The sequence below is a fragment of the Homo sapiens genome, chromosome 11, assembly GCF_000001405.40.
Source record: "Homo sapiens chromosome 11, GRCh38.p14 Primary Assembly".
Classification (NCBI taxonomy): domain Eukaryota; kingdom Metazoa; phylum Chordata; class Mammalia; order Primates; family Hominidae; genus Homo; species Homo sapiens.
In genome coordinates this window covers 68,192,033-68,219,682 of record NC_000011.10, presented here as the reverse complement: position 1 = coordinate 68,219,682, position 27,650 = coordinate 68,192,033, and the positions used below count along the sequence as shown (strand labels likewise).

Sequence of the window (27,650 nt, the reverse complement as noted above, 5' to 3'; positions counted from 1 at the left end):
ATAAATAGAGAAAGAGAAGAGGAAGAAAGAAAGGGTGGAAGAAGAAGAGGAGAGAGGAAGGAACAGACACCAAATGAACAAAACTAGGAACCCAAAAATCCATTCTGATATATATATATACACATATATATATACATATATACATATATATACACATATATATACACATATACACATATATACATATATACACACACATATATATATACATATATACATATATACACATATATATATACATATATATACATATATATACACATATATATATACCAGAATATATATATACCAGAATATATATATATACCAGAATATATATATATAAACCAGAATATATATATATATACCAGAATATATATATATATATGTGTGTGTGTGTGTGTGTGTGTGTGTGTGTGTGTGTATATATATATAAAATGTGGTGAGGAATGATGTTCACATCCCCTCAGTGAACCTCTCCACAGAAAACTTATTTATGACAATGGGCAAGCAAGTGACCTGACGATGGGGAAGCCTGGACACCCCTAAACCACATGACGGGTAACCCAAGTGGACATCACCCATAATGGGTTAAATCAAAACTGCTTCAGTTGTAACATCTCATTTTTTTGATTTTGTTTCTTTTTTTTTTTTTTGAGATGGAGTCTCGCTCTGTCACCCAGGCTGGAGTGCAGTGGCATGATCTCGGTTCACCGCAACCTCTGCCTCCTGAGTTCAAGCGATTCTTGTGCCTCAGCCTCCCAAGTAGCTGGAACTACAGGCACATGCCACCACACCTAGCTAGTTTTTGTATTTTTGGTAGAGAGGGGGTTTCTCCATGTTGGCCAAGCTGGTCTCAAACTCCTGACCTCAAGTGATCCGCCCACCTCGGCCTCTCAAAGTGCTGGGATTACAAGTGTGAACCACCACACCTGGCCAGAAATTATTAAAAAATAATAGTAATAATAAAAAAACAAAGCTCCCCGTGCCCATGAGGAAACCTTTGCCAGCTGCTGTCAGTCCTCTCTGTGTTTGCTTCTAGAGAGGGCTGGTTAGGGCTGAGTTTTATTTGGGGGAGGGGAGATGAAAAGGTGTGTGATGGGATCCCAAAGGAACAACATCCTCAGTGACAGGGAAATTTTCTTGGTGCCTGTCCCACTGCCCCAGGTGGGTGCTGAGCACACAACCCCCAGGGCACCCGTGAGCTGGAACGCTACACATCTTGTGGGGTGGGTGGTGGAGAAGCCTTGTCAACAAAGCAAGATTGAGCCCCCAGAATTTGGGGAGTGATTACAGAGCCCCTTGCACCTCCCTTTATCCTTGTAGCAACCCTGGAAAGTTAGTATTATCTTTCCCTCTTCCTCCCTCCCTCCCTTCAGCAAAAGCATAGAAGCCTCAACACTCTGTCCCCAGGGGTGGTTCCAGATGCTGAAGACACAGCAATGAATGAGACAGACAAAGCTCCCTGCCCTTGAGAAGCTGATAGTCTAAAAGGAGAGTCAGCCCTAGGATGAATACTGAAAGATACAGAATGCTAGAGCTGTCGTATGTGCTAAGGAGAAAGAACCCTGAAGCCACAAAGGAAGAATGAAAACTAGGTCTTGGCCGGGCATGGAGGCTCACGCCTGTAATCCCAGCACTTTGGGAGGCCAAGGCAGGCGGATCACCTGAGATCAGGAGTTCGAGACTGGCCTAGCTAACATGGCAAAACTCCATCTCTACTAAAAATACAAACGTTAGCCGGGCGCGGTGGCACACGCCTGTAATCCCAGCTACTCAGGAGGCTGAGGCAGGAGAACTGCTTGAACCTGGGAGGTGGAGGTGGCAGTGAGCCGACAGTGCACCACTGTACTCCAGCCTGGGCGACAAGAGTGAAACTCCGTCTCAAAAAAAAAAAAAAAAAAAAAAAGAAAAAAAAAGAAAGAAAGAAAAAAAAAAAGAAAACTATGTCCTGGACCTGGACCTGAGTGGTGGAACGGTACCTGTTTGAAGAGGTGGAAGGGTGTGTGAGGAGAGGGTTTTGCTTTCGTGTGTCCCCCAGGTTAGCCGTGTTATATTTGAAATGCCTATTAAGCATCGAAGTAGTGTTGTCTGAAGTTCAGAGAAGTCCAGGCTGGAGAGAGAATTTGAGCATCTGAAGCACATAAACAATTGTAAAGCTATAGAGGAACTTACTAAGACAGGTCCAAGGAATGGACATTTTCACAGGTAAAGGAATGGTGGGCTGACAGGCTACATCATTTGTCCCAAATCCCATGGCTGGTAAACTGCAGAGCTAGGATTCAAACCCAGGTCAGACTCGTGCCAACCTCTGTTGGCAGCTGCTGTACAGTCTTGCTGCTGTTGACCAGGGGTCTCGTGTGTGTCACTTGACCTTTCAGTGGCTGTTTCTTTTTCTTTTTTCTTTTTTTTGAGACAGAGTCTCAAAAAACAGGCTGGAGTGTACTGGCATGATCTCGGCTCACTGCAACTTCTACCTTCCGGGTTCAAGCCATTCTCCTGCCTCAGCCTCCTGAGTAGCTGGGATTACAGGCATGCGCCACCACGTCCAGTTATTTTTGTATTTTTAGTAGAGACGGGGTTTCACCATGTTGGCCAGATTGTTCTCAAACTCCTGAGCTCAGGTGATATGCCCACCTTGGCCTCCCAAAGCGCTGGGATTACAGGCGTGAGCCACCACGCCCGGCTTCAGTGGCTGTTTCTTCTTCTATTCAAGGACAGTGGCAGTGGAGGGGCAGGTGGAAAGCAAGAATGGTGCCGGGGGTAGTGGTGCTCAGGAATGTGACCAGGAAACCCGCCAGCCGCCCAGAGGGGCCACTGGGAAAGCCGGGTACGCCCCACTCTCCCTCCGGTTTCAGACACCTGCTCCCATCAGAGGAGTCCTAGCTTCCGGGCGGGGTGGGGACTGGGGCAGACGCATGTGCGGAGCACGAAAGCCAACATATCGCTTTACAATGAAAAGCAACCTGCCTCCAGCCTGGAATTCTGGGGTCAACGTGACCTGTGGGCCATCCCAGTAAGCACAGGATCAAAGCAAGTGAATCCCTGCCATCCTGTCACTGAGTGAACCTGGCACTCGAGGAAAGGGAGCGAGAGAGCATAGCAGGGTGGGTGGCACTAGGCTGGAGTGCCCCTGGACACACCAGAGCCAGACCTGCTAGAGAGACCAAAATAGACTCCATGGCCTCAGTCAGTGCCCTGGCAAGCGTGCCACTCCTAGGCCAGCTCCGGGCTAGGCTGGCACTCCTGGCCAGCCTCACGGTGCTTCCGGGGCCAGCCGGGCCCCTTCCGCTGACTCGGTCTTTCTTTAGAGCTGTTAATCCCTTTTGGTCCGGCCAGGCTGGGGAGGCCCCCCAGCCTCTGTGGCTCAGCTCTTCCACTTTGGGGTGCCTAGAGCTCTCCCAGTGTAAATGCCAAAGGCTCCTGACACACAGGACTGGGCAGGTGCCTGGCTGCCTACTTCCTGCTCTCCCTCCCCTGCCAGCTGGCAGGAGGAGCCTCCAACTGGCCTCTCCTGTGGGAGTCTCCCTAGGAAGGGCTCTCCTGGGCTGTGCTCTCAGCCCAGCCTAGCCCTGGCTTCCCTGAGTGGGGACCCCCAAAGGCCTCAAGCCCCCTGCATGGCTCCACCAAGGTCCTGAACCCCAATTCAGCTCTGCCAGGAGCCCTGGCCCACCCTGGGCCTCTCAGCTGAGGCTGGAAGAGCAGCTGGCAACGTAGGGGGATTGAGGGAGGAATGCACACAGAACTGGGGGCCTGGGAGCAGGCTGGGCTTGGGTTTGCTCATCTGTATCCCTGCCAGGCTGTGGGCCCAGCCTTGCAAGGAAATGTCCAGAACACTTGACTTGGCATCAGGCAGTGAACACATGGAAGTGTCTGCATCTTGGAAGTATGGGGGCTTCACAGGACTCAGGATTTGGCGTTCACCCTGAAGGGCACATGGAGAGCACCTCTATGCTGGGGTGGGCTCTGGAAAGCTGGGAGTGGGCAGGACATCGGCTTTGGGGGCTCTGGAGGGCTGCTCAGGCATAGCTGGACTTGGGACCTGAGACCAAGGTCGACTTAGAGGCAGATGGTATTCCCCTAGTGAGCTCGCCTCCCATAGGCATTCGGTGGTGGTGGGTGGCAAAGGCAGGCTCAGTGTTTCTGGGGTGCAAGTTGAGTATTTGGAGCCAGGCACTACGAAAATCTTGGAAAGTTTCTGATAAACCAGAAACCAAGAACACCAAAGCAATCATTTGTTAGTTGCGTCTGCAAAGACGAACGTGGCAGAGTGGATTCTGCTGCCACAGATGACGCTGCTTTTAGTGAAAGGGCAGACAGGAGAAGTGCTTGGGCTGTGCCCACCGCCCACACCCGAATCGGCCTCCAAAAGGAGGAAGCTGCTGATAGGGCAGGTGAAGGCAGTGGGAGGAGCTCTGTTTTGAAGATGAGACCCGCTTCTGCCTCCGTCAGCCATGTGCCCTCAGCGAGTCACCGTGCCTCAGTTTCCCTCTGTGGAAGGCGGTAATGAGCATCATGTCTACCAGCCAAAGTCAAGGTCGAGAATGAGGGCAAACGAGGGAGGCGCTGTGCGTCAGTGTTACTTGGACTTAGTCCAGTTCTTGTGTTGGGTGGTCGTCCACAGCCTCGATTCATCATCCTTTGTGGAGGATGATGGCCCTGGAGCCGCAGGGGAAAACTAAGGCAGGCTGCGGCTCTTCCTGGCATCTGACTGAGCTGCCTGCCCTGCCCGCCTCCTCTCTGTGGCAAGGGCAGCCTCTCTCCCCTCCCAGGGCTTTGACACTGGCTGGTCCCACTACCCGCCCATATCCTAGGCACCCCCTTTCCCCAACACGCTCCAATTCACACTCCAGGTCTGCGCTTCCTTGGGCACCTGCCGGCACCAAGTTCCAGGCATGTGCACGCCTATGCCAACCTCAACTTCTTGGAGGTCCTCCGCACCCGCTTCCTGATTTATTCTGCATTTTTCACCCGAATGCTGAAAGAGGGCTCTGGCTCAAGCCCTGACTAGTTGTCATAGAGGTCACGGAACTCCCTGTGCCTCAGTTTCCCTAGGTGTAAAGTGGCACCCACATGGCCCCCACCTCCGGGGGTCGTCCTGACGCGTGAGAGGGAGGATGCGCGGAGACCCTGGGCAGCCCCGCAGGGGCCGGGAGCGCGCTCATCGTTCTGTTGTCTGGACTACAAGATCGATGCCCAGGCAAGCTTCGCAGCTCCCCGGCTCGCAGGCGGCCCGGTCCCTCAGGATCTCCCCGCCAGCCCGGGATCCCCGAGGAGGGATCGCACGGCCAGCGCGCAGGGCACACCCGGAGTGGAGCGGAGCACGGCGCGGGGCACATAGTGGGTGCTGGGGGCGGCGGGGCCCGCGGGGGGCCAGGCCAAGGCGCGCCCGCTCTCCTCCTCCCTCGCATGCTCCGCGCAGGAACGCTCAGCCTGCCCACACGGTCTTAGGGTGCATCTGCTGCCAGTGACCCCCATTCCCACAACAAAAACGCTCGTCTGCCCGGGGCCACCTCCCTCGGAGCAACTGGGACGCGCGGCGGGAGGGGGGGGGGTCCCCTTCCCCAGGGCTGCAGTCCGAGAGGCTGGCTCTAGAGCCGTCCCTGGTAGGGGCAGGTGTGCAAAGACCCAGGGCCCGGGACAGCTGCCGCGGTCCCGCGGGGACCGGGACCGGAATGCGGTCGCGTAAGGGCCGCAGGGGACCCTAACGTGGCGCCCGCGGGGCGCGGGCGACGCCGCCTCAGCCGCGATTTAAAGGGCAGCGAGGGCGGAGGGATCCCAGCCGCCTACCGGCCGGCCGCGAATCCCTCCGCCACGAGGGGAGGCGACGGCTCGCTCTGAATCGCCCTTTGTCCCTCCGCCGTCGGGAGCGCCCGGCACAGAACTCGCTCCCCGCGCGTGCCCGCGTCCCGCACAGAGCCCCGTGGAAGCGCCGCGGCGGCTGGGCCTGGCGGGAGGCGCGCGCACACTGTGGCAGCTGCGCCGCACGGTGTCCCTCCGCCGTCGAGGCCGCGGCCTTCTTTTCGTATCCTTCCACCGTGCCCGGGCGGGGTCCAGGCGGCTCACCGGGGGCGGCGACGCGGCGGCGGTGCGGGCGGCAGGGCAGCGGGGCGATGAGGTGAGGACGCCCGGGAACCGGAGGCGGCACCGCGCGGCGCACGGACCTGGGACGCGGAGTCCTGAAGCCGGCGGACGGTTTTCGTACGGGCGGCCGTGCGCGAGGCGAGGTGAGGCCCCGGGTGGCGGGGCGCGGGGGCGGGCGCCGGGGGCGCAGCGAGCCGAGGCCGGGGGCGCGGGGGGCGCGACGGCGGCGGCGGCGGCCGGTTGGGGGCGGGGGGCTCGGACGCTGCGGGGACTCATTTTTCCCGTCAGCGGAGGGAGCGAGCGGTGCTGCGGCCCGCGCCGCCATCTTGGATTTTACTCTCCATTTTTCTCTGGAATTATTTTTGGTGATTAATTTTCTGGGGGGGACTGGGACGCGGGGCCCGGCGGCGCGGCCCCGCATCGCAGCGGCCGGGCAGCGGGGCCTGGGACGCGCCCCGAGGAGGAGCGGGGCGGCGCAGGCGGTGAGTCGGGGGAGGGGCGGGCGCCGGCGAGGGTGTGCGGGGGGCGGCCTCGGTGACGGGGCGGGCAGGGACGTGGGGGACCGCGGGCCCAGGCCGGTCGCAGGGCTCCGGGGCCAGGGCGGGTGGGGCCGGGGCCGGGCGCAAGCGGCCGGGCGCGGGGGGCGGGGCTGCGGCCGGGCCGGTGCGGGGCCGGCGCGGGGCCTGCAGTGGTGGCCGCGGCCGGAAGGGAGCGGTAGCGGCCGCCGGGCAGCGTCGGGGCCGGGCCCGCGGCCGCACGAGGGGAGCAGCCCCGCCGCTCGCGATTGGGGGACTCTGTTTTCCCTTTTCTCCAATGGGCAGCCGTGAACCGTCTCGCCCAATCTGCTCCCACTGCCGCGCTGAACTTTTTGTTTTTGTTTTGGCCCGAGCGCATTTCGGAGCCCTCCCGAGCTCGTCCTGCAGCCCACCCTCCTCCCCGACGGCGCCCCTGGCCGTGGCCCGGCGACCCCGCGGCCGCTGCGTCCCCTTTGTGCTTTATCCGCTCTCCCTGCGTCCCCTGGTGTGTGTCTGTCCTTCCACGTATTCGCGGATGATGTGCACCGTTGTCACCTCCGCCTTGGAAGGAGGAACAATGACAACTCGATGCAACTTGCTGGATTAAGATAGAAACAAGTTGGGTGCTGAGAAATTCAGTCTATTTGGGTTTATTGGACCCGGGTCTGGAACAGTAACTTAACGATTTATTAAGTGGTGGAACTTTCGGAATACTGGGGAGGTGAACATGTGTTCTTTGAAGTTAATTTTTAAGAATTTGCCAAATGAAATTTACCTGGAGTGGGGGGAGTTTTCCTTAGAATAGAGGGCAGGTGAATTAATTTGATTGATTGTGGTTCTTTGTGATGTGGACCTTTTTCGATTTAAACCAGTTTGATATAAAGTGTAGTTGAGGATGGCCATACAGGTCTGAACTTTGCTGTGTAGGATCTTTAGAGGAAGCAGTTGCCAGCTATAACTTTTTTCCTTTAGTCTTTAATATTGAGAACACGCCTATAATATTGATAATTAGTAGTAAAAAGAAGTATTTTCAAAAGAGGAGGAAACCATTTTTACCTGAAATAATTACAGATAATGTGTGCATGTTGAAATACATAAATTGCCGCTTGCTGTAAATACAGATTTATTGTGTATCTGAAGGTTTAGCAATTTGAACCAGAGGTGTGGCCCTGTCCCTCTTGGAGCGCCTTATATTCCCAGGTTAGAGTCCACAAACGCTCTAATCCCGGCTTGTGTGGGAACTCCAGCCCATTTTTCACTTTGTAATCTCTAAACATTCGACATTCTGGTCCCTCTCCCAAGCTCTGGCTCCAATAGCTTCCCATACCTGGTCCCTGTCGGCCGTGCCCTGCCCGGCATTCCTCCACCCCTTTTCTCCACCCCGTACACTCTTGTCCTTCAGAAAGGCCCCGTGAGAATGTTGCTTCCTGGTGAAACCTTCACACACACAGCCGTTGGGGTGGTTACTCGTGAGTTTTTGAGTCTCTTGTTATCTCGTCCGCCCACGGGCAGGTACAGAGTAGGTGCTCATAGACCCTTAATGAATGGGTTAATTTATTAATCTCCAAGTTGTCAAGCTTAATAGTTTGTATTAGTTTTTCAAAATAAATCCACTTTAATGTTGTTTACAAACATAATTATATTTTAAAAACTGAGCTGGAGAGTGAAGGGAATATGGTAGATATTTCTTCAATAAGAGAGTAGGGTAGGGCTTGATTCTTTATCCATGATCATTTCCAAGTGCTCTCGCGCCTTTATTTTCATCTGCTTTCCCAAACACCCTGAACTGCTCATGCAGTGAACTTTTTATTCTCGCAGCAAATGCCAGGGGACAGTAGTGGGGAAGGTGGAGGTGGATGGAGGGTAGCGGACTCTGACAGGGAGAGACGCGTGTGAAGGAAGTGTCCCGGTGTCTGCGTGTCTTTCAGCAGAGAATTTAGTGGGTGGGGGATGTTGGTGATTTTTCTCTTGGGTTATTTAAAAAGGAGGTTGAATCTGATTTTCCTTTACCTGATTATCAGTTTGTGGGTTTATAGGGCCTGGGTTCGTGGCCAGGTTGTGTGATAAAGAGATTTGTGTGTGTGGCATCTAAGCAGCTCCCTGTCCACAGGAATGCCCTTCCCATGGCTTACAGAGCAAATCCTTTCAGATAAATCGCCGTGGTCCCATTATTTCGTGTTTCTGTGTACCATGTATGAGCTTTACATTGGCAAATCTCTCCATTGGCAAAATCCTTCTCCGTGGTCAGGAGTTCCCCGACTATGTCAGCCTTAGAACGCTCTGATGGTTAAGAATCTTCCTCACACTTTTGACGATAGGGACCATGTGTCCTCCCTCCGCTCCATCACCCTGTTAGCTACAATACTGCATGTTAAGTAAATGCAGGGGGTGATCCATTATGTGTCTGGATGGGGTTGATTTGGGGCTAGCCGGTCTCCGAATGAGACAGACTTGAACACCAGGCCATCTTCTAGGGCCGTATGTCAAATGATGACTGCTGTATAGAAGTGTAATTTTAGGAATAGTTGAAGGACCATGGAATAAGAATCAATTCTTATTCCATTCTCTGCTCTATCACTGTTTGTATAAGTCATTGATAGGGCCTAGACTCCGTCTACAAAACGACTCTGAGGTCACTTCCAATCCAAAATTGTATTAATGCTTCATCTTTTACACTTCACTGCCATCCTATTTTCTCCTAATAATTATTTTAATCATATTTTGACATCTCTCTAATCACCTTAGTTCATCTGCATGTTTCATGTAGTTTTACCTCCTTTTTTTGAAATGTCATTATGAGATAGTTAATCAGTTGGGTTTTAGAATTGAGAGACTAGGGTATCAGTGTCCCCCCCCCCAAAGCTTGATTGGGGGCCTGTATGACTCCTACAATGCCAGTTGCATTTCTATAAGCTGTCTTAGTTTGTCTGTTGTAATAGCACACTAAAGAAAACAGTACCGGCCGGGTACGGTGGCTCACGCCTGTAATCCCAGCACTTTGGGAGGCCGAGGCGGGTGGATCACGAGGTCAGGAATTGAGATCATCTTGGCTAACACGGTGAAACCCCGTCTCTACTAAAAATACAAAAATTAGCCTGTAGTCCCAGCTACTCCGGAGGTTGAGGCAGGAGAATGGTGTGAACCCGGGAGTTGGAGGTTGCAGTGAGCAGAGATGGCTCCACTGCACTCCAGCCTGGGCGACAGAGCAAGACTCCGTCTCTTAAAAAAAAAAAAAAAGGGGGAAAGAAAACAGTACCTAGATCCGGGGATCATTTGCTGGTGATAAACCTCTAGGTGGTACACGTGGCTCAAGCACTGGAGTAAACCCCAGACTGCAGTTTAAAGATGAAGGTTTTAGACCCACCCTTACCACTTAGTAGCACTTTGAGTTTAGGAAAGCAATTTGTTTCTGAGCTTTAGCCTCCTTGTTGTAGTGCTAATACCTGTTTCACCTGATAGGGTTGCTGAGCTAGCGAATCCCGAGTCCTGCATGTTAGGGGAACCAGTAGAAACCGAATGTGTGTGTTGTGACACCTGTGTTTCTACCTTGTGCCACCTTTATAGGAATGCCTGGTCAGCACATCTCTAATGGCACTCGGCTTGCTTCTCAGGCCTTACGCAAAAGGCCCATTCAGTGAAGGGTCATTCTGCTTCCTAGTCTGTACTTTTCTACCCTGTTAACTTTTTTTCCCCTTATGCATCTGTTTGGTTTTCTTCCCTGACTCAACGACTGATTTTCCTGAAAGTAGAAGCTCTCATACGCCCTCTAGTGTTCCCTGGACATGACCAGTATTCCAGCACCACGAACAGTGCCTGGCAGCTCTGGGAGGTTCTTCATAAGTTTGTTGAACTGAGTGGATTCTAGGTCGGCCCGATGAATTGTTTTGCCTGTCTGATTTGTATAACACGGTTGAAATGTATGATACATTTTAATGGTCTCTGAGGAGTATTTTTATTTTCGAGGCAATGTTTATGTTGCATCATATGGAGAAATAGATATTTTTAGTAAGAAAACCAATCTGATTTTAGGAAGCTGCAGCTTTCCTCACTGAGAAGTAAAAGGGGGCTTGATCCTTCAGCCAGTGAGCCAGTGGCACCATAGGAAACCCCCCTTCACTTTCCCCCTTGGAAAGGAAACAAAACCAGACGTCATTCAGGGTCCTGGAGGGTTTAAAGCAAATATTTGTTTGGTGCATATAAATAAGTACCAGGAGGGCTTTTGACCCAAAAAAGGTATTTTTTGTTTGTTTGTTTTTGAGACAGGGTCTTGTAGCCTCCCAGGCTGGAGAGCAGTGGCATAATCCCAGTTCACTGCAGCCTTAGTCTCCTGGGCCCAAGCAATCATCTCGCCTTGGCCTCCCAAAGTGCTGGGATTATAGGATGAGCTGCCATGTCTGGTCTTGTTTTTATATTTACAATTTTGATTTATATTTCCCTGATCATCCCATCTCAAGTCCATTCTTACATTAGTCTCTCTCCTAACATCCTGTTTGTTTTTCTTACAGCTCGCATCAGATTGATAACCACATACTTACTTACATCTCTTCCCATAGTATGCTCTGACCTCTATGCAGTCAGGAACGATGTCTATTTTGCTCTAGAGTTTTACTCTTCAAATATGGGGCACAGTGGTTTTTTTGTTTGTTTGTTTGGAGACAGAGTCTCACTCTGTTGCCCAGGCTGGAGTGCAGTGGCGCGATCTTGGCTCATTGCAACCTCCACCTCCCAGGTCCCGGTTCATGCAATTCTCCTGCCTCAGCCTCCCGAGTAGCTGGGATTACAGCCACATGCCACCACGCCTAGCTAACTTTTGTATTTTTAGTAGAGACGGGGTTTCACCATGTTGGCCAGGCTGGTCTTGAACTCCTGACCTCGTGACCCTCCCGCCTCGGCCTCCTAAAGTGCTGGGATTACAGGCGTGAGCCACCGTGCCTGGCTTGGGCGAAGTGTGTTTAAAAATTTGTTTGGGGCCAGGCGTGATGGCTCACGCCTGTAACCTCAGCACTTTGGGAGGCCGAGACAGGTGAATCACGTGGTCAGGAGTTCAAGACCATCCTGGCCAACATGGTGAAACGCTGTCTCTACTGAAAATACAAAAATTAGCTGGGCGTGGTGGTGGGCACCTGTAATTCCTGCTACTCGGGAGGCTGAGACAGAGAATTCCTTGAACCTGGGAGGCAGAGGTTGCAGTGAGCAGAGATCGTGCCACTGCACTCCAGCCTGGGCAATAGAGCGAGACAGCGTCTAAAAAAATAAAAAATTTGTTTGGGTCATTATTCTGTGTTGTTTTTTGGTTTGTTTTTTTTTTTTTTTTGAGATGGAGTCTCACTCTGTTGCCCAAGCTGGAGTGCAGTGGCACGATCTTGGTTCACCACAACCTCTGCCTCCTGGGTTCAAGCGATTCTCCTGCCTCAGCCTCCCGAGTAGCTGGGACTACGGGCAGGTGCCACCATGCCTGGCTAATTTTTGTATTTTTAGTAGAAATGGATTTTCACTATGTTCGCCAGGCTGGTCTCGAATTCTTGACCTCGTGATCCGCCCACCTCGGCCTCCCAAAGTGCTGGGATTACAGGCGTGAGCCACCGTGCCTGGCCTGTGTTGCTTTTTTGTGTGATATTAACAGTACACAGTCTCTCAGCCTGGACTTCACTTCAGTTTTTTTTCTAATTCTCTGAGTTTTGTTCTCATTTGTAAAATGGGGATGATAGTATTGAGTGTGTGTTAAAGGGCAGTGATGTTTGTATCTTCTTTTATAGGGTGTGAAAATAATCTGTTTGACCAGGTACACCACAAACTAAACTGTGTTGTAAGAAGCTCTGTAGTCCAGTCTGTGGTCCCTCTGAATGTTTAGGATGGGAGATGTAGCTTGGCATGATTTTTTTTTTTTTTTTGAAACGGAGTCTCGCTCTGTCGCCGAGGCTGGAGTGCAGTGGCGCAATCTTGGCTCACTGCAAGCTCCGCCTCCCAGGTTCACACCATTCTCCTGCCTCAGCCGCCACCATGCCCGGCTAATTTTTTGTATTTTTAGTGGAGACGGGGTTTCACCGTGTTAGCCAGGATGGTCTCGATCTCCTGACCTCGTGATCCGCCCGCCTCAGCCTCCCAAAGTGCTGGGATTACAGACGTGAGCCACTGTGCCCTGCTGCTTGGCATGATTTTTAATCATGCGTGTTGCAGCCAGAAGTTACATTCCTTCTCTTTGGGAACTGTAGGGAAAGCAGAACTGGTGCTCAGCCTTGTGTCATAATTATTCTTTTGCACATTTGTTCTTTTTTAAATGGGTGAGGTGATGAGATTTTTTTTTTCATGTGTGAGTTATGGTGGGGAATAGAAGGGAAATTTCTACTTGATTAAAGTTTTGTGAAGAATGTTTCTGGCCTGCTTTACTTTTGCCTTAGTTACTTGGAAGGGGAGACCTTAATTTGTTAGCAGTTTGTGCTCATTTAAAATATCTTGTGCCAAACCTAGGGAGGCCTTCTTTTCATTGTACTGGTGGGGCATCGGTGAAGTTAAATAACTCGTCTGCTCACACTGCTGGGGTAAGGATGAAGCTAGGGTGGGACAGGTGCTTTGACTGCAGAGCCACATCCTTAATCCCTGTGCGGGCTGCCTCTGCAAAGCCCACCAGCTGGCAAACTCAAAGTGGCCTCTAACGTCCAGCCCAAGAACCACCTTTTGGAAGCTTTTCCTCACACTTGTCCTTGCCCAGTAAAAATCTTTGATGTACTTCTTGTAACTTCTGACAGAAACTGTGGGCTGTAAAGGCTGTACTTACAGTCATTTGACACTAGGTGGCATCTGTTTCTAGAACCGTGAATGGCTGTTTGAGTCCTAGAGAAAACAGTAACAAAGAAAGCATCCTTGATTTTATTTCTAGGCACTGCTAGGTAAGCAGATGGATCAAATGTGGAGAGATGGGGGAAGCAGGCATTTTTTGTTTTCTTCTGGAAGTTTTTTTGAGGACTTTCCCTCAACAACCCCATCAGTGAAAACCTTTGTTTTAAAATAACTACTGAGATGAAGACATGAAGTCTTTCTTACATGACATCCCTCGTCGTAAATACGTATTGAATGTGATATTTAAGAATGAAGCAGTATTTTCTGTGATAAGGCAATTAGGAGTTTCTTACATGTCTGGCTGTAGATCAGTAGCCAAATAAGTAAGTCTAAGAATTGCGAACGTCTGGCCGGGCGCGGTGGCTCACGCCTGTAATCCCAGCACTTTGGGAGGCCGAGGTGGGTGGATCTCGAGGTCAGGAGATTGAGACCATCCTGCCTAACACGGTGAAACCCTGTCTGTACTAAAAATACAAAAAGTTAGCTAATTGTGGTGGCGGGTGTCTGTAGTCCCAGGTACTCAGGAGGCTGAGGCAGGAGAATGGCTTGAACCCGGGAGGTGGAGCTTGCAGTGAGCTGAGATCATGCCACTGCACTCCAGCCTGGTGGACAGAGTGAGACTCCGTCTGAAAAAAAAAAAAAAAGAATTGCGAATGTCTGATCATAAACTTACCAGTAGTGGATAGTTTGCTCCTTAAAATGTTTTGCTCAATGAGAAATTCTAATAGTTTCAGTTTTTATTGTAAGTTTTAATATAAATAGAAAAATGTTCAATTACAATGCTATTCAGGAAGATCATGGTTATCTGGCCTAGCAAGTGTGTGAGTAATCAGAGGTGTAATTAAGAGGCTGGCTCTATTTTCAAAATCTATATAACTCAGTAGCTGCATTTTATACCTTCAGTTGAAGGATAGTGTATGATTTAAACTTTTTATTTATTTATGTTTTTAAAGGTGAGGTCTCACTCTGTCACCCAGGCTGGAGTGCAGTGGCATGATCATAGCTCACTGCAGCCTCTACCTCCTGGACTCCCATGATCCTTCAGCCTCAGCCTCCTGAGTAGCAGGGACTGAAGTTGCGCAGCAGCACAACTGGCTACTTGTTTTTTTTGTTTTTTTTTTTGGTAGAGATGAGGGTCTCACTTTGTTGCCCAGTCTTTTAAAACTTGTTTTAAATACACTGTTTTAAAAGTTGTTTAAAATCTTTTTTCCTGTGACATGTTGGAATTTTATGTATTTTTGGAGTGTGGTAACTGTAAAGCGTTTCTACTTTGGTTTAGTTTTTCATAATCTCTGTTATGTGGTCACTGTAACAAATTCCATAAACTTAGCGGCTTAAAACAACAGAAATGGGCTGGGCACGGTGGCTCACACCTGTAATCCCAGCACTTTGGGAGGCCAAGGTGGGCGGATCACTTGAGGTCAAGAGTTCGAGACCATCCTGGCCAACATGGCGAAACCCCATCTCTACTAAAAATACAAAAATTAGCCTGGCGTGGCAGCAGGTGCCTATAATCCCAGCTACTCAGGAGGCTGAGGCAGGAGAAATTGCTGGAATCTGGGAGGTGGAGGTTACAGTGAGCTGAGATCGCACCACTGCCTCCAGCCTAGGCAACATGTGAGACTCTGTGTCAAAAAAAAAAAAAAAAAAAAAAAACCGGAAATTTATTCTCTCACGGTTTTCGAGGCCAGAAGTTCAACATCAGTTTCACTGGGCCAAAGTCAAGGCGTTGGCAGGGCTGTGGAGGGAAGCTGCTCTTTGCTTCTTCCAGCCTCTGGTGGGCTGCAGCATTCCCTCACCTGTGGCCACATCACTCCAGTCTGCTTCACCTTCTGTACTTTGTGAGGTGTCAAATCTCCCTCTGCCTCTTATAAAGTCATTTGAGTGGCATTTAAGGCTTACCCAGATAATCTAGGATAATCTCTTTTATCTCAAAATTTTTTATAACATCTTCAAAGACCATTTTCCTTATAAGGTAGCATTCACAGGCTCCAGAGATTAGGAGCCGATGTCTTTGGGGGCCGTTTTCCACCATACTACAGTCTGCTTTAGAGCTGTTAGCTCAACAAGTTTAGTCTTTTTCAAAACTTAGTGATGGTGTCTGTGGCCATCGTTTTATTCTGAAAGGGCAGTGGGTGAAGCATTCTACCTTGGTGGTAGGTAAACTGCTCAGCTTCAGACGCTATTCTCTTGGTGGCCTGAGTGAGGGCATTACCACCTGAGGGTACTTGGGAAAGCTGTTGAATTGGGTGAAGCAAAATGCATCCAAGCTTGACCCTATGAAAGCTAGAGAAGGAAAGTAGGAATGATAATATCATGGACATTTGTAATTATTTTAGGAGTATAGAGACGTATTCTTTGCTATGGAGTTGATGGTTCTAGATACCTGATTACCATTTGAATTAGCGTGACAGCTCTAATTTTAAAGTAAAGGCTCTGCCTTAGGTAGAAGCATAATTGTGAATTCAGGGAAATGAAAACCCTGAGGCCTTTCTCTTTTCATAATACTAACACCCCGTTGAACTACTCTGACAAGTCACCTAGCTTCTCAGGTGAGACAACAATGTTTATAGGAGCAAGTTTTAAGGTTACAGGTATGAACGTGAATTCGTGGTAGTTTTCTAACAAATTAGCAACTGAGAAATTGCCCTGTCAAGCAGTGTTAATGGTGTTATGATGGAATATTGGTCACAAATGCTTCTGATAGCTTTGCAGGGCTTCTTTTATTGGCCTCATCGCTGGGATTGATACCATAGGATTCCGTGGAGCCTTAGTTATTGCAATATTGATTGCAGACGGCTTTGGAATAGCCATTGATAAAGACCGATTTGGAATTCTTTGATGTCAAGTCCTTTTGTGATTTCACATTTAGGAGAAAACTAAAAACCGATTCTGCTTATGTGTAGCAGTTGGTTTGAGAATAGAAAGGGAAGGTGATATGAATGGACCTATGTCTGGTCTTGTGCTGGATTCTAATGATATGAAAGTGTATGGGGCCGGGTGCGGTGCCTCACGCCTGTAATCCCAGCACTTTGGGAGGCCGAGGCAGGCAGATCACGAGGTCAGGAGTTCGAGACCAGCCTGACCAACATGGTGAAACCTCGTCTCTCCTAAAAATACAAAAATTAGCTGGGTGTGATGGCACACACCTGTAATCCCAGCTACTCAGGAGGCTGAGGCAGGAGAATCCCTGGAACCCAGGAGGCGGAGGTTGCAGTGAGCTGAGATCGTGCCACTGCACTACAGCCTGGGTGACAGAGCAAGACTCCATCTAAAAAGAAAAAGTTTAGCATAGAATTACCATATGACCCGGCAATTCTACTTCTGGGTATATCGTCAAAAGAATTAAAGCGGGTACTCAAACAGGTATTTTGTACACCCACGTTCACAGCAGGATTATTCGGCCAAAACATGGAAATAAAGCCAGGTGCAGTGGCTTACGCCTGTAATCCCAGTACTTTGGGAGGCCGAGGTGGGCAAATCACGAGGTCAAGAGTTCAAGACCAGCCCAACCAACATGGTGAAACCCCGTGTCTACTAAAAATACAAAAATTAGCCGGGCATAGTGGTGCGCGCCTGTAATCCCAGCTACTCAGGAGGCTGAGGCAGGAGAATCGCTTGAACCCGGGAGGCAGGGGTTGCAGTGAGCTGAGATTGAGCCACTGCACTCCAGCCTGGGCAACAGAGTGAGAGTTTGTCTCAAAAAAAAAAAAAAAAAAAAGTGTGTCTTAGCTAGTAGGGAAGGCAGGTGTTACCAGATAATTACACAGAGTAGTGAGTATGGTTGTAATAAGCACCATGCTGAGAAACGTTAAGGGTTAAAATGTATAACAAGGAAATCTATATAGCTGGAGAAGTGGGGTTGGGCAGGGACTGAGGAGCAGTGTGGCGGCACCCCAAGTGCAAAGGCCCTGTGGTGGGAAGCTGCCAAGCTGTTTCCCTTTCCTTTGTGTAAGTATCTTTAATATTTTGTTACAAAAGTCACAGATGTTTATTTTGAAAAGTTGAACATGTAGCAGGTAAATATTGCTTGTGATGTCATTCTCCATTGTAATCTCACTCACTGTTAACCAGTGGTGTACTGGATTGTTTTCTTACCAAATTATAACTAAATCACTTGAAAAATGTTTTCTTTGCCTTTCTAAATAAAGATTTATGAAAGTCCTCTAACAGGCTAGAACCTGCTTTTTATTATTTCTTTGAGACAGAGTCTTGCTCTATCACCTAGGCTAGAGTGCAGTGGTGCAATCTCCTGGACTCAAGCCATCCTCCCACCTCAGCCTCCTGAGTACCTGGGACTACAAGCACGCACCACCACACCCGACTAATTTTTTTTTTTTTTTTTTTTTGGTAGAGACTGGGGTCTGACCATGTTGCCCAGGCTGGTCTTGAACTCCTGGGCTCAAGGAATCCACCTGCTTCGGCCTCCCTAAGTGTTGGGATTACAGGCGTGAGCCACCACACCCAGCCAGAACCTACTTTTTAAAAATGTGTATTGACTTTTCTTTTTCAACCACTTGGGGATTGTTTCCCTGCCACTGGATAATTTCTCTAAGATAAACTGTTTGCAGACAAGTTCAGCATGTCAACTGGCTAGAGGGTTCTCGGTAATGTCACAGGAATTACGTTAACATTCTTTCTAGTCATTCAGAATCAGTGTTTTAACTTTTTTGACAGATTTTTTTTTTAATCTTAGTTTGTTTTTAGGATATTAAGCAAAAAATGCCTGTGTTTAAGTAAAAATGGATTGGAATCAGAGTTCTCAAATTGGACACAATTTCTCAAAAGTCACTCAACAATTTATAATCTCATAAAGAGCCTGGAAAGAGAAGGGCATTGACATTTGTTGAGGGGCCATCACTGGCATAGAACAGGCATGGTTATGTGAACGTAGCCCATTTTCTATGAATCAATGCTGCTTTCTTTTGAAATGTGTTAAAGTATTAAGGTTTTCAGTTTTTTTCTGATTATAAGTAAATAGGTTCACTGTAAACGTTTGGGGAAAAAATACTTTTGAAAGTTATCCTTCCCCCCAGCAACGGTAGCACTGGTGATTTGGAATGCATTGTGGTGGTGCTGGTGGTGGTGGGTGTCGCGCTTCTCACCTTAGTGGCATCGTGTTATGATTAGGAGTTTCCGCTTTAAATACAACTGGAAATCATTCTTGAAATCTTTTCCCCTTTAAATACATTTCTTATTTTAGCAGTTTTCCAGTATGTTTTATCTTGATCATAAATTGTCCCCTCACCCCCCACCTCCTTATTTATGTTTGGTACCAGAATCTGTAGTAAGTGCTTCTTTTCCCATGTGTTGATCCAGTGAAACCACATAAGGTGACTCTTCCTGTTGATTTCAGTGCTGGGTAAATCCCTTGGGGAAGTGATGCTGCCCATCTTGGAGCAGAATCCCAATTCCATTTTCTCAGAGCCTGATTGCATCATTTCTGTGAATACTCACGAAAGTAGAAGGCACAAAGCCTTGCACAGTAGTCCTCAGGAATTCCACTTCGTTTTCCTACTCAGATCATCTGTATTACTCCCATCCAGAGATTTAACCAATCTATTAGTTTAAAAAAATTTTTTTAACACAGATCCTATAAGCGCTCTGAAGGCTTGCCTTCTCAAATTAACTAACCTATTCCCATCACCTCCCACTCCATAATTTTAACTTACATTTGTCTTTTCTGGCCTGCGAGTCAGTCTCTCTCTCTCTCGTTCCTGATATTGCCCTCTGCCATCTGTTTCTTAAAGCAAAGCCCCGTCTTCCTCACAAGTGCGTGTTTTAAGACATTGTGTCCATTTAGAAGTTCTCTGTTGTTTCTGAGCAAGGCTCACAGATCAGCAATAGCCCATCCTTTCCACGAGTTTAGACTCATAAAATAAAAGTATTTGCTTACTGGGCACCTATAGTCCTTGCCTGAGTTGGTAACTCCCTCCACAGAGTGGTCCCTGTCATGCCTGGCTCTGCTTCTCACTTGTTGCTCCTTTTGTGATCCTGTGCTGCTTCTCCTCCTCTTGACCTATACATGTTAAAGTGCCCCCGACACCCAGTCCTTGGACTTCATTGATCTGCACTGAGTCCTAGATTTCATCTGATTCCATGGCTTGAAATGCCATTAATACTTTGATTTTATTTGAAGATAAAAATACCAGATTTTTATCTTCAGCTTGGAGCTGGACTCCAGACCCTGGTATCCAGCTGCCAACTCCAGTTGGATCTGTAGTGGGCATCTCAAAAGTGACTAAAACCAAAAAAGACCCCCAAAAAGGAAGAAAAAATGACCAAAACCAAATTCCCACACCGCAGTCCTTGCGGAAGCCAATCTTCCTATAGTCTTTGTCACATCCCTAAATATTAATTCCATTCTTCATTTGCAGGTATTTTTGAGTCCTCTTTCTCCTACACCTGCATTCAATCTGTCAGCAGTTCCCGACTATCAGCGGAACCTTCAGAAAAGATCTCGAAGCCAACCACTTCTTGCCACCTCTGCTGCTGCAGCCACTAGTTCTCCTCTGGCTAGCAGTAGTCAGTTAGTAAATAGACTACTACTACTAATAACGTCTCCCTGCATTCTCTTGTCCTAGAAATTATTAGTAGCTTCATTAGAACTGCTTTTTTAAAGTACCATGTAGCAAGCTGCCAGCATGGTCCTTTAAAACTGTGGGTTGGATCGTGTCACTCCTCTGCTTTCCCTCTCACTGGGAGTAAAGGCCCAAGTCTCAGCAGTGGCTTTGAAGCCCTTCTTCCCTGTGGCAGCCTCTCTGACCTCATCCTCCCACTCTTCCTCCATATTTGCCCCAGCCACGCCAGCCTCTGGGCCTTGTGTTTGCCCTTCCCTTTGTCTACTGCATGCTTCTTGCCTGATGCCTGGCTGTCCCTTCACATCCCTTGCTGTCTTAGAAAACAGCCACTATCACCCTCCTTCTCCACCTGAAACACTCCCTGCCACCATAAATGGCTTATTCCCCCCAAAAGGTGCCGACATTCATTCGTTAATTTATTATTTCCTAGTGCTTTTTTCCATTAGAATATAAGCACAGATGAGGGCAGAAGCCTTATTTTGTTCCATGCTGTATTCTCAGTGCCTGCAACAGTGTCTGGAATATAGTGGATGTCTAATTTTCCTGACATTTTTATATTGGGAAATCAGAACAGGATTTGTAACTAAAAAAAAAACAACGCAATTACTTTATTACTTTTGCACCAAGCTAATACACCATTTAAGAAGTGGTCAGTAATGGCCGGGCGTGGTGGCTCACGCCTGTAATCCCAGCACTATGGGAGGCCAAGGCGGGCAGATCACAAGGTCAGGAGATTGAGACCAGCCTGGCTAACACGGTGAAACCCCATCTTTACTAGAAATACAAAAAATCAGCCGGGTGTGATGGCGTGCATCTGCAGTTCCAGCTACTCAGGAGGTTGAGGCAGGAGAATGGCTTGAACCCGGGAAGCGGAGGTTGCAGTGAGCCAAGATCGTGCCACTGCACTCCAGCCTGGGCAACAGAGCGAGACTCCGTCTCAAAAAAAAAAGAAGCAGTCAGTACTTTCTTGAAATGTTTTTCCTAACAATTTGGGACAAAATTGAGGCAATTTTTACTTCTAAATGTAGTCAGTGGCTAATTAGCTCAGAGTGTGTCAGCCAAACCGTGACCATGGGGACATTTCCACGTGAGCCAGCTATGTCCCATGGGAGTCTGCACCCTTGTGTGTTTGTTGGGAGGGGGCACCTCTGTGGTAGCTATGAAGCATTTAGGCTTTGCTAGCCGCCCTGTCTTGTCTTGTCTTGTCTTGTCTTGTCTTGTCTTGTCTTGTCTTGTCTTGTCTTGTCTTTTTTCCTTTCCTTTCCTTCATCTTCTTTCCTCTTCTTTTCTCTTCTTTTCTTTTCACAGTCTTGCTGTGTCGCCCAGGCTGGATGGAGTGCAGTGGCACAATCTTGGCTCAGTGCAACCTCTGCCTCCTGGGTTGAAGCTATTCTCCTGCCTCAGCCTCCCAAGTAGCTGGGATTACAGGCATGTGACACCACGCCTGGCTAATTTTTGTATTTTTAGCAGGGATGGGGTTTCACCTTGTTGTCCAGGCTGGTCTCGAACTCCTGACCTCAGGTGATCTGCCCGCCTTGGCCTCCCAAAGTGCTGGGATGTTTTCAACCCCTATTTGTCTATACTCTACTACAGTATCGACTTGTGTTAGCTTTTTAAAATCCCATCGCTACCTTTAATGTGTAAACGTGTGGTCTTAGAGGAAAGATCATGCCAGCAAGAACAGATTCCACACTTAGGAGGGCAGAACAAATGATGACCTGATCATTAGTACAATATATATTCATTTTGAGCTGAAAATTTTTTTAAATAGCCCCCAAATTATTGATAGCTTCATTAGAATTGTTTTTACAAATGTTTCATTTATCAGTTTAAGAAAGATCTTTTGATAGCTTTTATCATATGGACCTGTGGAGAATCTCTCTCTGCTAGGCTACATCCAGACATGTGCAGTGCATTCATACTAGTGAAATTTAGCCATGTTCTGTGATTGACAGAAGTACCTGTTAGATTAAATTACCTTGAGTTCAAATAATATCAGTTGATCACAATATAAATGAGATCTGAGGGCACAGATTTTTTCCAGTTTGGATCATTAACCCACATTTAATTTAAATTATGTGCACATTAGAGTGGATCTCAGTCTGTGTTCCATGAATTGAACCAAAGTTTGCTATTACTAAAGTGATTTGTTGGTGAATTTTCCTAATTCTCAGAAAAATGTTTGGTTGATATTATAATTTCCTTAATTTTTTATTCCATAATTTTTCTTAAAATTTTGTATCTATTCTTTGCCCTAACATGATAAAATGAATAAGTAAATTAGAGCGATTGCTCTTACACTGGAGCTTGCATCACCTGGAGGTCTTACTACAACACAGATTGCTGGGCCTCATCCCCAAATTTTCTGCTTTCTCTCAAGTAGACATCTTGGTTGGGACTTAAAGACTTTCCATGGCCGGGCGTGGTGGCTCACGCCTGTAATTCCAGCACTTTGGGAGGCCGAGACAGGCAGATCATGAGGTCAGGAGATCGAGACTATCCTGGCCAACATGGTGAAACCCCGTGTCTACTAAAATAGCAAAAAAAAATTAGCCAGGTGTGGTGGTGCGCACCTGTAGTCCTAGCTACTCGGGAGGCTGAGTCAGGAGAATCGCTTGAACCCAGGAAGCAGAGGTTGTAGTGAGCCGAGTTTGGGCCACTGCACTCTAACTTGGGGACAGTGCGAGACTCCGTCTCAAAAAAAGAAAAAAAAAAAGACTCTCCATGGATAACCTTTCTATTCCATATATTTTATTTCTATTTCATATAATTATGCTTTATGTCTTATTTTTGAGGTATATTAGGACTCCTGAGAAGCCTAAAAGTACATTGTTCCATGATTATCCATAAGTTGTGTGTTAAACACAGGCATTCTACAGATGATTTCCTAAAGGACCAAAAGCACTTTTCCTGGTCCTGGTTCTTTTTCTCTGGAGGGTCAAGGACTAGGGAGTAAACCAGAAAGTATAATGGCAAGCAGTAGGGAAGTTAGTGGTGGTAGCAGCTGTGATTCCTGCCTTGTTTCTGTCTGTGCAGGAGCTTCTCTCACCCCCTTACACACCATGGACATTTTGAGAAAGGAGAGGATTTGAAGAGGTCAGGAAGTATCTTTAATTTACAGTTTTTTTTAATGCAGAAATATAGTTTCTATGATGCAGTTTAGAATACAACCTATTTATTTCATCAGTTGAGTGCCTCTAGGATGTACTGTGTGCTATACTAGATACACAAGGGCCAGAGATAAGAAAAATAGATTCTCAACCTTAGGAACTCTCAATTAAGGAAGCAGACACTTAAACAATATAGTCACATAAGGGCTTTCACTTAAGTTTTATAGCATAAGTATATAACTAGATTTGGCAGTGAATGTCAAGGAACACTTCCTAGAGGATGTGAACACTGAACTGGGACTTAAGGAATTAGGCAAAGAGATGGTGTTATAACATTCCAGGCAGACAGAGGAGAAAGGCATGGTGCATTGCCCTTCCCCACACCCCCAGGAAAAAAATGCATTTTATTTTATTTTATTTTAGACAGGGTCTTGCTCTGTCACTCAGGCTGGAGTCCAGTGGTGCAGTCTTGGCTCACTTCACCCTCCATCTCCTGGGCTCAAGTGATCCTCCTGCTTCAGCCTCCTGAGTAGCTGGGATTACAGGCGCATACCACCACACCTAGCTAATTTTTGTATTTTTGGTAGAGACGGGGTTTCACCATGTTGGCGAGGCTGGTCTCAAACTCCTGGATTCAAGTGATCTGCCCACCTGGGCCTCCCAAAGTGTTGGGATTACAGGCATGAGCCACCACACCTGGCCAAAAATTCATTTTATTTAATGACCAAGTATACACACATTTACACATATATAACTAAAACAAAACTTACTATGTGGGATGCATTGTGAAATATTCTGCTCTGTGTTCTTTCATTTAAAAAAAATTACTGGTCACAACATAGTAAAAAAAATGTTGCAAACCATTAATATGTTACAACCCATAATTGCCCTAGAGCACTATGAATGCTGAGCTATAATTTTAGGGAAAGTTACAGTCTTGCTCCTTAGAATTAGCCCATGGTAGTATTCTGTGTATTCAGAGGAAAATAACATAATCTTGTTACCATGTATGTGCCCTGGACATGGTAGGTGCTTTCTGTGTGCTTAAATCACCTACCTTCCCAGGCCCTGGAGATAAGAGTGTGACTTGCAACTATGTAACAGGACCCTGGATCTATCTGTGTTGTACCTTTTATAGAAACAACTTTTTTAGGTACATTATTTCATGTGATCCTCACAACAGCCCTGTGAGGTGGATGGGGAAAATATGATCAGCTTCACTTTCTGGATAATGGAAGTTAAGGTTCAGAGAGGTTAAGTGACTTTGTTGGTTACCAACTGCCTAGTAAGAGACAGAGGTGGGATAGGAGAGGGCTATTTTCTGTAAACCACATAGCTTCTGAGAGTATAATCTAACTTGAAATATAAAATACATTTATATAAATTTACCACTTCATCATTTTCTTTTTTTTCACTCTGTCACCCAGGCTGCAGTGTAATGGCATGGTCATGGCTCACTGTGTCCGCAATTTCCTGGGCTGCAGCCATCCTCCCACTTCAGCCTCCTGAGTGTAACTACAGGTGCATACCACCATCCTTGGCTAATTTTTTAATTTTTATTTTTAGTAGCAATGAGGTCTTGCCGTGTTGCCCAGGCTGGTCTCGAACTCCTGGCCTCAAGCAGTCCTCTTGCCTTGGTCTCCCAGAGGGCTAGGATTATAGGCATAAGCCACCACCTGGCCCATTTGCTTGTTGTTAATGCAGCTTTTTATAGGATACAACAAAAAACCTAATTCTAAATTTATCATGCCAAGTTTATGCATCTGTACCAATGAAAGCTTATAGCCACAGAACATCTGTTTTTCAGAAAGTGCTGTTTCTTTGGCTCTTGTCTTAAAGGAACATAAGTAATATGAAAGACCCTAGGGGTCAAGGAAATTGAAGAAAACTGAGGAAGGGATATAAAATGGAATGTAGTCACGGATTTTAGTCCCTTTAAGCTTTTACTTTTGTGAGATGGCTCAATGATGGAGAGCTTTAATGCAGATGAACCTTGAAGCTTTTAAAGATCTAAGTCTTGACGAGGTTATTGAAATTCAAATCTTCAATGCATTGTGATAGTAGGCTATAATTTTTGAACACTTGGCCGGGCACAATGGCTCATGCCTGTAATCGTAGCACTTTGGGAGGCCGAGGTGGGAGGATCGCTTGTGGCCAGGAGTTCAAGACTAGCCTGGCCAACATGGTGAAACTCTGTCTCTACTAAAAAATACAAAAATTAGGCGGGCATGGTGGTGCACACCTGTAATTCCAGCTACTTAGGAGGCTGAGGCATGAGAATAGCTTGAACCTGGGAGGTGGAGGTTGCAGTGAGCCAAGATCGTGGACACTGCACTCCAGCCTGGGTGAGGGAGCGATACTCTGTCTCAAAAAAAAAAAAAAAAAAACTTGGTACTTGATGCTCTCCCGAAGTGCTAGGATTTGAATGCCACAATTCATATTGTTTTATGTTTTTATCTATTACTGTTCCATGGGTTTCTTTAAATGAAGTCCATTTTAGAGTCCATAGGCAAAACTGCTGGGGATCCAAGATCCAAGGCTCCCAATGGACCACCCATTGCTCTTTTTCTCAAGCTTTCTTTGTACTTTATACCTCAAAAGTACACTGCTCTTACTGAGTGTGGTGGCTCATGCTGGTAATCCTAACACTTTGGGAGGCTGAGGTGGAGGATTGCTTGAGCCTAGGACTTTGAGGCCACAGTGAGCCATCATCACACCACTGCACTCCAACCTGGGTGACAGAGCAAGACCCTGTCTCTTAAAAAAAAAAAAAAAAGTATACTGCTGTTCAATTCTATGCCTTTTCTCCTAAGTGTAAGATATATGATCATTAATGAGAGGTTTTAATGTTAAATTTGGTAAAATTTAATAATTGAAAAATCCTTAGCTTATAACTGATGTAGAATAGATAGAAGACTGTTTAGTGAAACCTATGAGAAAAATCAAAAGGCACGTTAAAAGTTAAATACTATAATCGAATTTAAATAGTAAGGGAACCAGAAAAAAAATTCATGTTAGAAAACAATTGTAAAGTTGTCTTTAGCATTGATCAGATTTTTTTTTTTTGCCATTCCCCTAAGCATACTGCTCACATGCACATCTTACCCTCCAGTGAACTCACACAGATACTCCTGTAACATGAAAGAGACCTGAGATCAAGTAAAAATTCATGTTTTGTGTTTGTGTTGAGTATCATTAAAGGTATGTCCAGGCATGTATTTTTGTGAATACTTCGAAGTAATTTATCATTTGTACTTTTCTATGTGTTTGTGGAAAGGAAATTGACCTGCGTCTGGTGTAGTTGAGAATTTGTTGGGCAGCAGTGCTGGGTTCTACTCGTGAGACTGCTGCAGGTGGATCATGTGGTTTTAGGCATGTGGCCTCAGTTTCATTTGCAAATTGAAGGAGTTGCACTGATGATCTTAAGGCATCTTTGGCTCTGAAGTTCTGTATTTTTGCCCTTTATCGTAGGGCCTTTTTAGTCTGACTTGTACTAATGCATAATTCGATAATGAGGTGGTATCATGGACATCCTTTTTCTCATTCCATTAGTAGTGAGTGTGATGTATAATATCCTCATTTCCAAAGGTCATTATAAATTACAAGCATCCCCCACTATTCAGATCAATCGGTTCCCAAATTCAGATAGTAAGAGATACATTTACATTACCGAATACAGTAGCTTCTCAGTTTTGTTGCCATTGTGAAGGAATGATAAGGTAGACATTTCCAGATGGGCACTACTTTGATATCTGAATATTGGTTTCTTAAATATCTAGAACAGTGAATTGAAACTAACAACAACAAAGAGATATGAAGTCCTTTACTTTCCTTACTCTTGTCCCTCTGCTAAATTTTGTTTGTGGTGATGAGTAGCCAGCACAACAGTTAGGAGTCTCTTACTGTGATGGACAAAGCTTAGTATAGATGCCTTTTCCTAAGCTTGCCTTGGAACAAAGAGATAAATAACTTCCTTGTAGTTTACTCACCCAGTTCAGAGCATTACCAAAACATGTAGTTTGAGCAGATAGATGAGAAAGCTCTACTAGATATCAGTATAACAAGGAGCAAAGATGGTTCTTACTGTTTACTGAGAGAAATATTTGTTGAGCACCTGCTGTTTGTCAGTACTGTTCTAAACACAAGCAAGGAACAAGTCAGAATGAGTCCCTGCCTTCTGTAGTTTACATTCTGGCCAGTCTGGGGGCACTGTATTCCTGAGCAGGCATCATATGATTGGGGAGAGCCAAGATTGTCTTTAAAGAGTGGAGACATCAGTTATTAAAGTATAGTCATGCATTGCTTAATGACAGGGATACCACACATTCTGAGAAATGTGAGTTTAGGTGATTTTGTTATCGTGCAGATATCATAGAGTGCACTCATAGAGTGTGTCTCGGACACATTCTAGAAATGTGAGGTTAGGTGGTTTTGTTGTCATGCAGTTGTCATAGAGTGTACTTACACAAACCTAGGTAGTCTAGCCTACTACACACCTGGGCCATTGCTCCTAGGCCACTAACCTGTACAGCTTGTTACTGTAC

The 27,650-nt window shown here is 46.9% G+C and overlaps 1 protein-coding gene across 25 annotated transcripts in view, besides 7 other annotated features; it reads left to right on the top strand.

Moving 5' to 3' along the window:
- Positions 3,927 to 4,221: a silencer, noted in NCBI's record as "tiled region #2086; K562 Repressive non-DNase unmatched - State 20:ReprD". NCBI's record gives its function as "represses a minimal TATA promoter and a strong SV40 promoter by Sharpr-MPRA in K562 cells {active_cell/tissue: K562}" and the evidence as "EXISTENCE:reporter gene assay evidence [ECO:0000049][PMID:27701403]".
- Positions 5,007 to 5,709: an enhancer, noted in NCBI's record as "H3K27ac-H3K4me1 hESC enhancer chr11:67981441-67982143 (GRCh37/hg19 assembly coordinates)". NCBI's record gives its function as "activates a minimal SCP1, AML or CMV promoter by ChIP-STARR-seq in primed H9 embryonic stem cells {active_cell/tissue: H9 hESC(primed)}" and the evidence as "EXISTENCE:reporter gene assay evidence [ECO:0000049][PMID:30033119]".
- Positions 5,007 to 6,095: a biological region, named in NCBI's record as "H3K27ac-H3K4me1 hESC enhancer GRCh37_chr11:67981441-67982143".
- Positions 5,406 to 5,545: a silencer, noted in NCBI's record as "silent region_3664". NCBI's record gives its function as "represses an Ori minimal core promoter by ATAC-STARR-seq in GM12878 lymphoblastoid cells {active_cell/tissue: GM12878}" and the evidence as "EXISTENCE:reporter gene assay evidence [ECO:0000049][PMID:35858748]".
- Positions 5,656 to 6,095: a silencer, noted in NCBI's record as "silent region_3663". NCBI's record gives its function as "represses an Ori minimal core promoter by ATAC-STARR-seq in GM12878 lymphoblastoid cells {active_cell/tissue: GM12878}" and the evidence as "EXISTENCE:reporter gene assay evidence [ECO:0000049][PMID:35858748]".
- The window catches only part of KMT5B (lysine methyltransferase 5B), a 58,786-nt gene continuing 37,170 nt past the window's right edge, over positions 6,035 to 27,650 (top strand). For 15 of the 25 annotated variants that reach the window (NR_161379.1, NR_161378.1, NR_161380.1 and 12 more), the window contains exon 1: positions 6,035 to 6,206. The gene's annotated coding sequence lies outside the window, so the exon portion shown is untranslated. Of the gene's footprint in view, positions 6,207 to 6,337; positions 6,550 to 7,096; positions 8,048 to 27,650 lie in introns of those variants that run through there. The other 10 variants (NM_001369429.1, NM_017635.5, NM_001369431.1 and 7 more) reach the window with 5 other exon arrangements.
- Positions 6,681 to 7,150: a silencer, noted in NCBI's record as "silent region_3662". NCBI's record gives its function as "represses an Ori minimal core promoter by ATAC-STARR-seq in GM12878 lymphoblastoid cells {active_cell/tissue: GM12878}" and the evidence as "EXISTENCE:reporter gene assay evidence [ECO:0000049][PMID:35858748]".
- Positions 13,286 to 13,375: a silencer, noted in NCBI's record as "silent region_3661". NCBI's record gives its function as "represses an Ori minimal core promoter by ATAC-STARR-seq in GM12878 lymphoblastoid cells {active_cell/tissue: GM12878}" and the evidence as "EXISTENCE:reporter gene assay evidence [ECO:0000049][PMID:35858748]".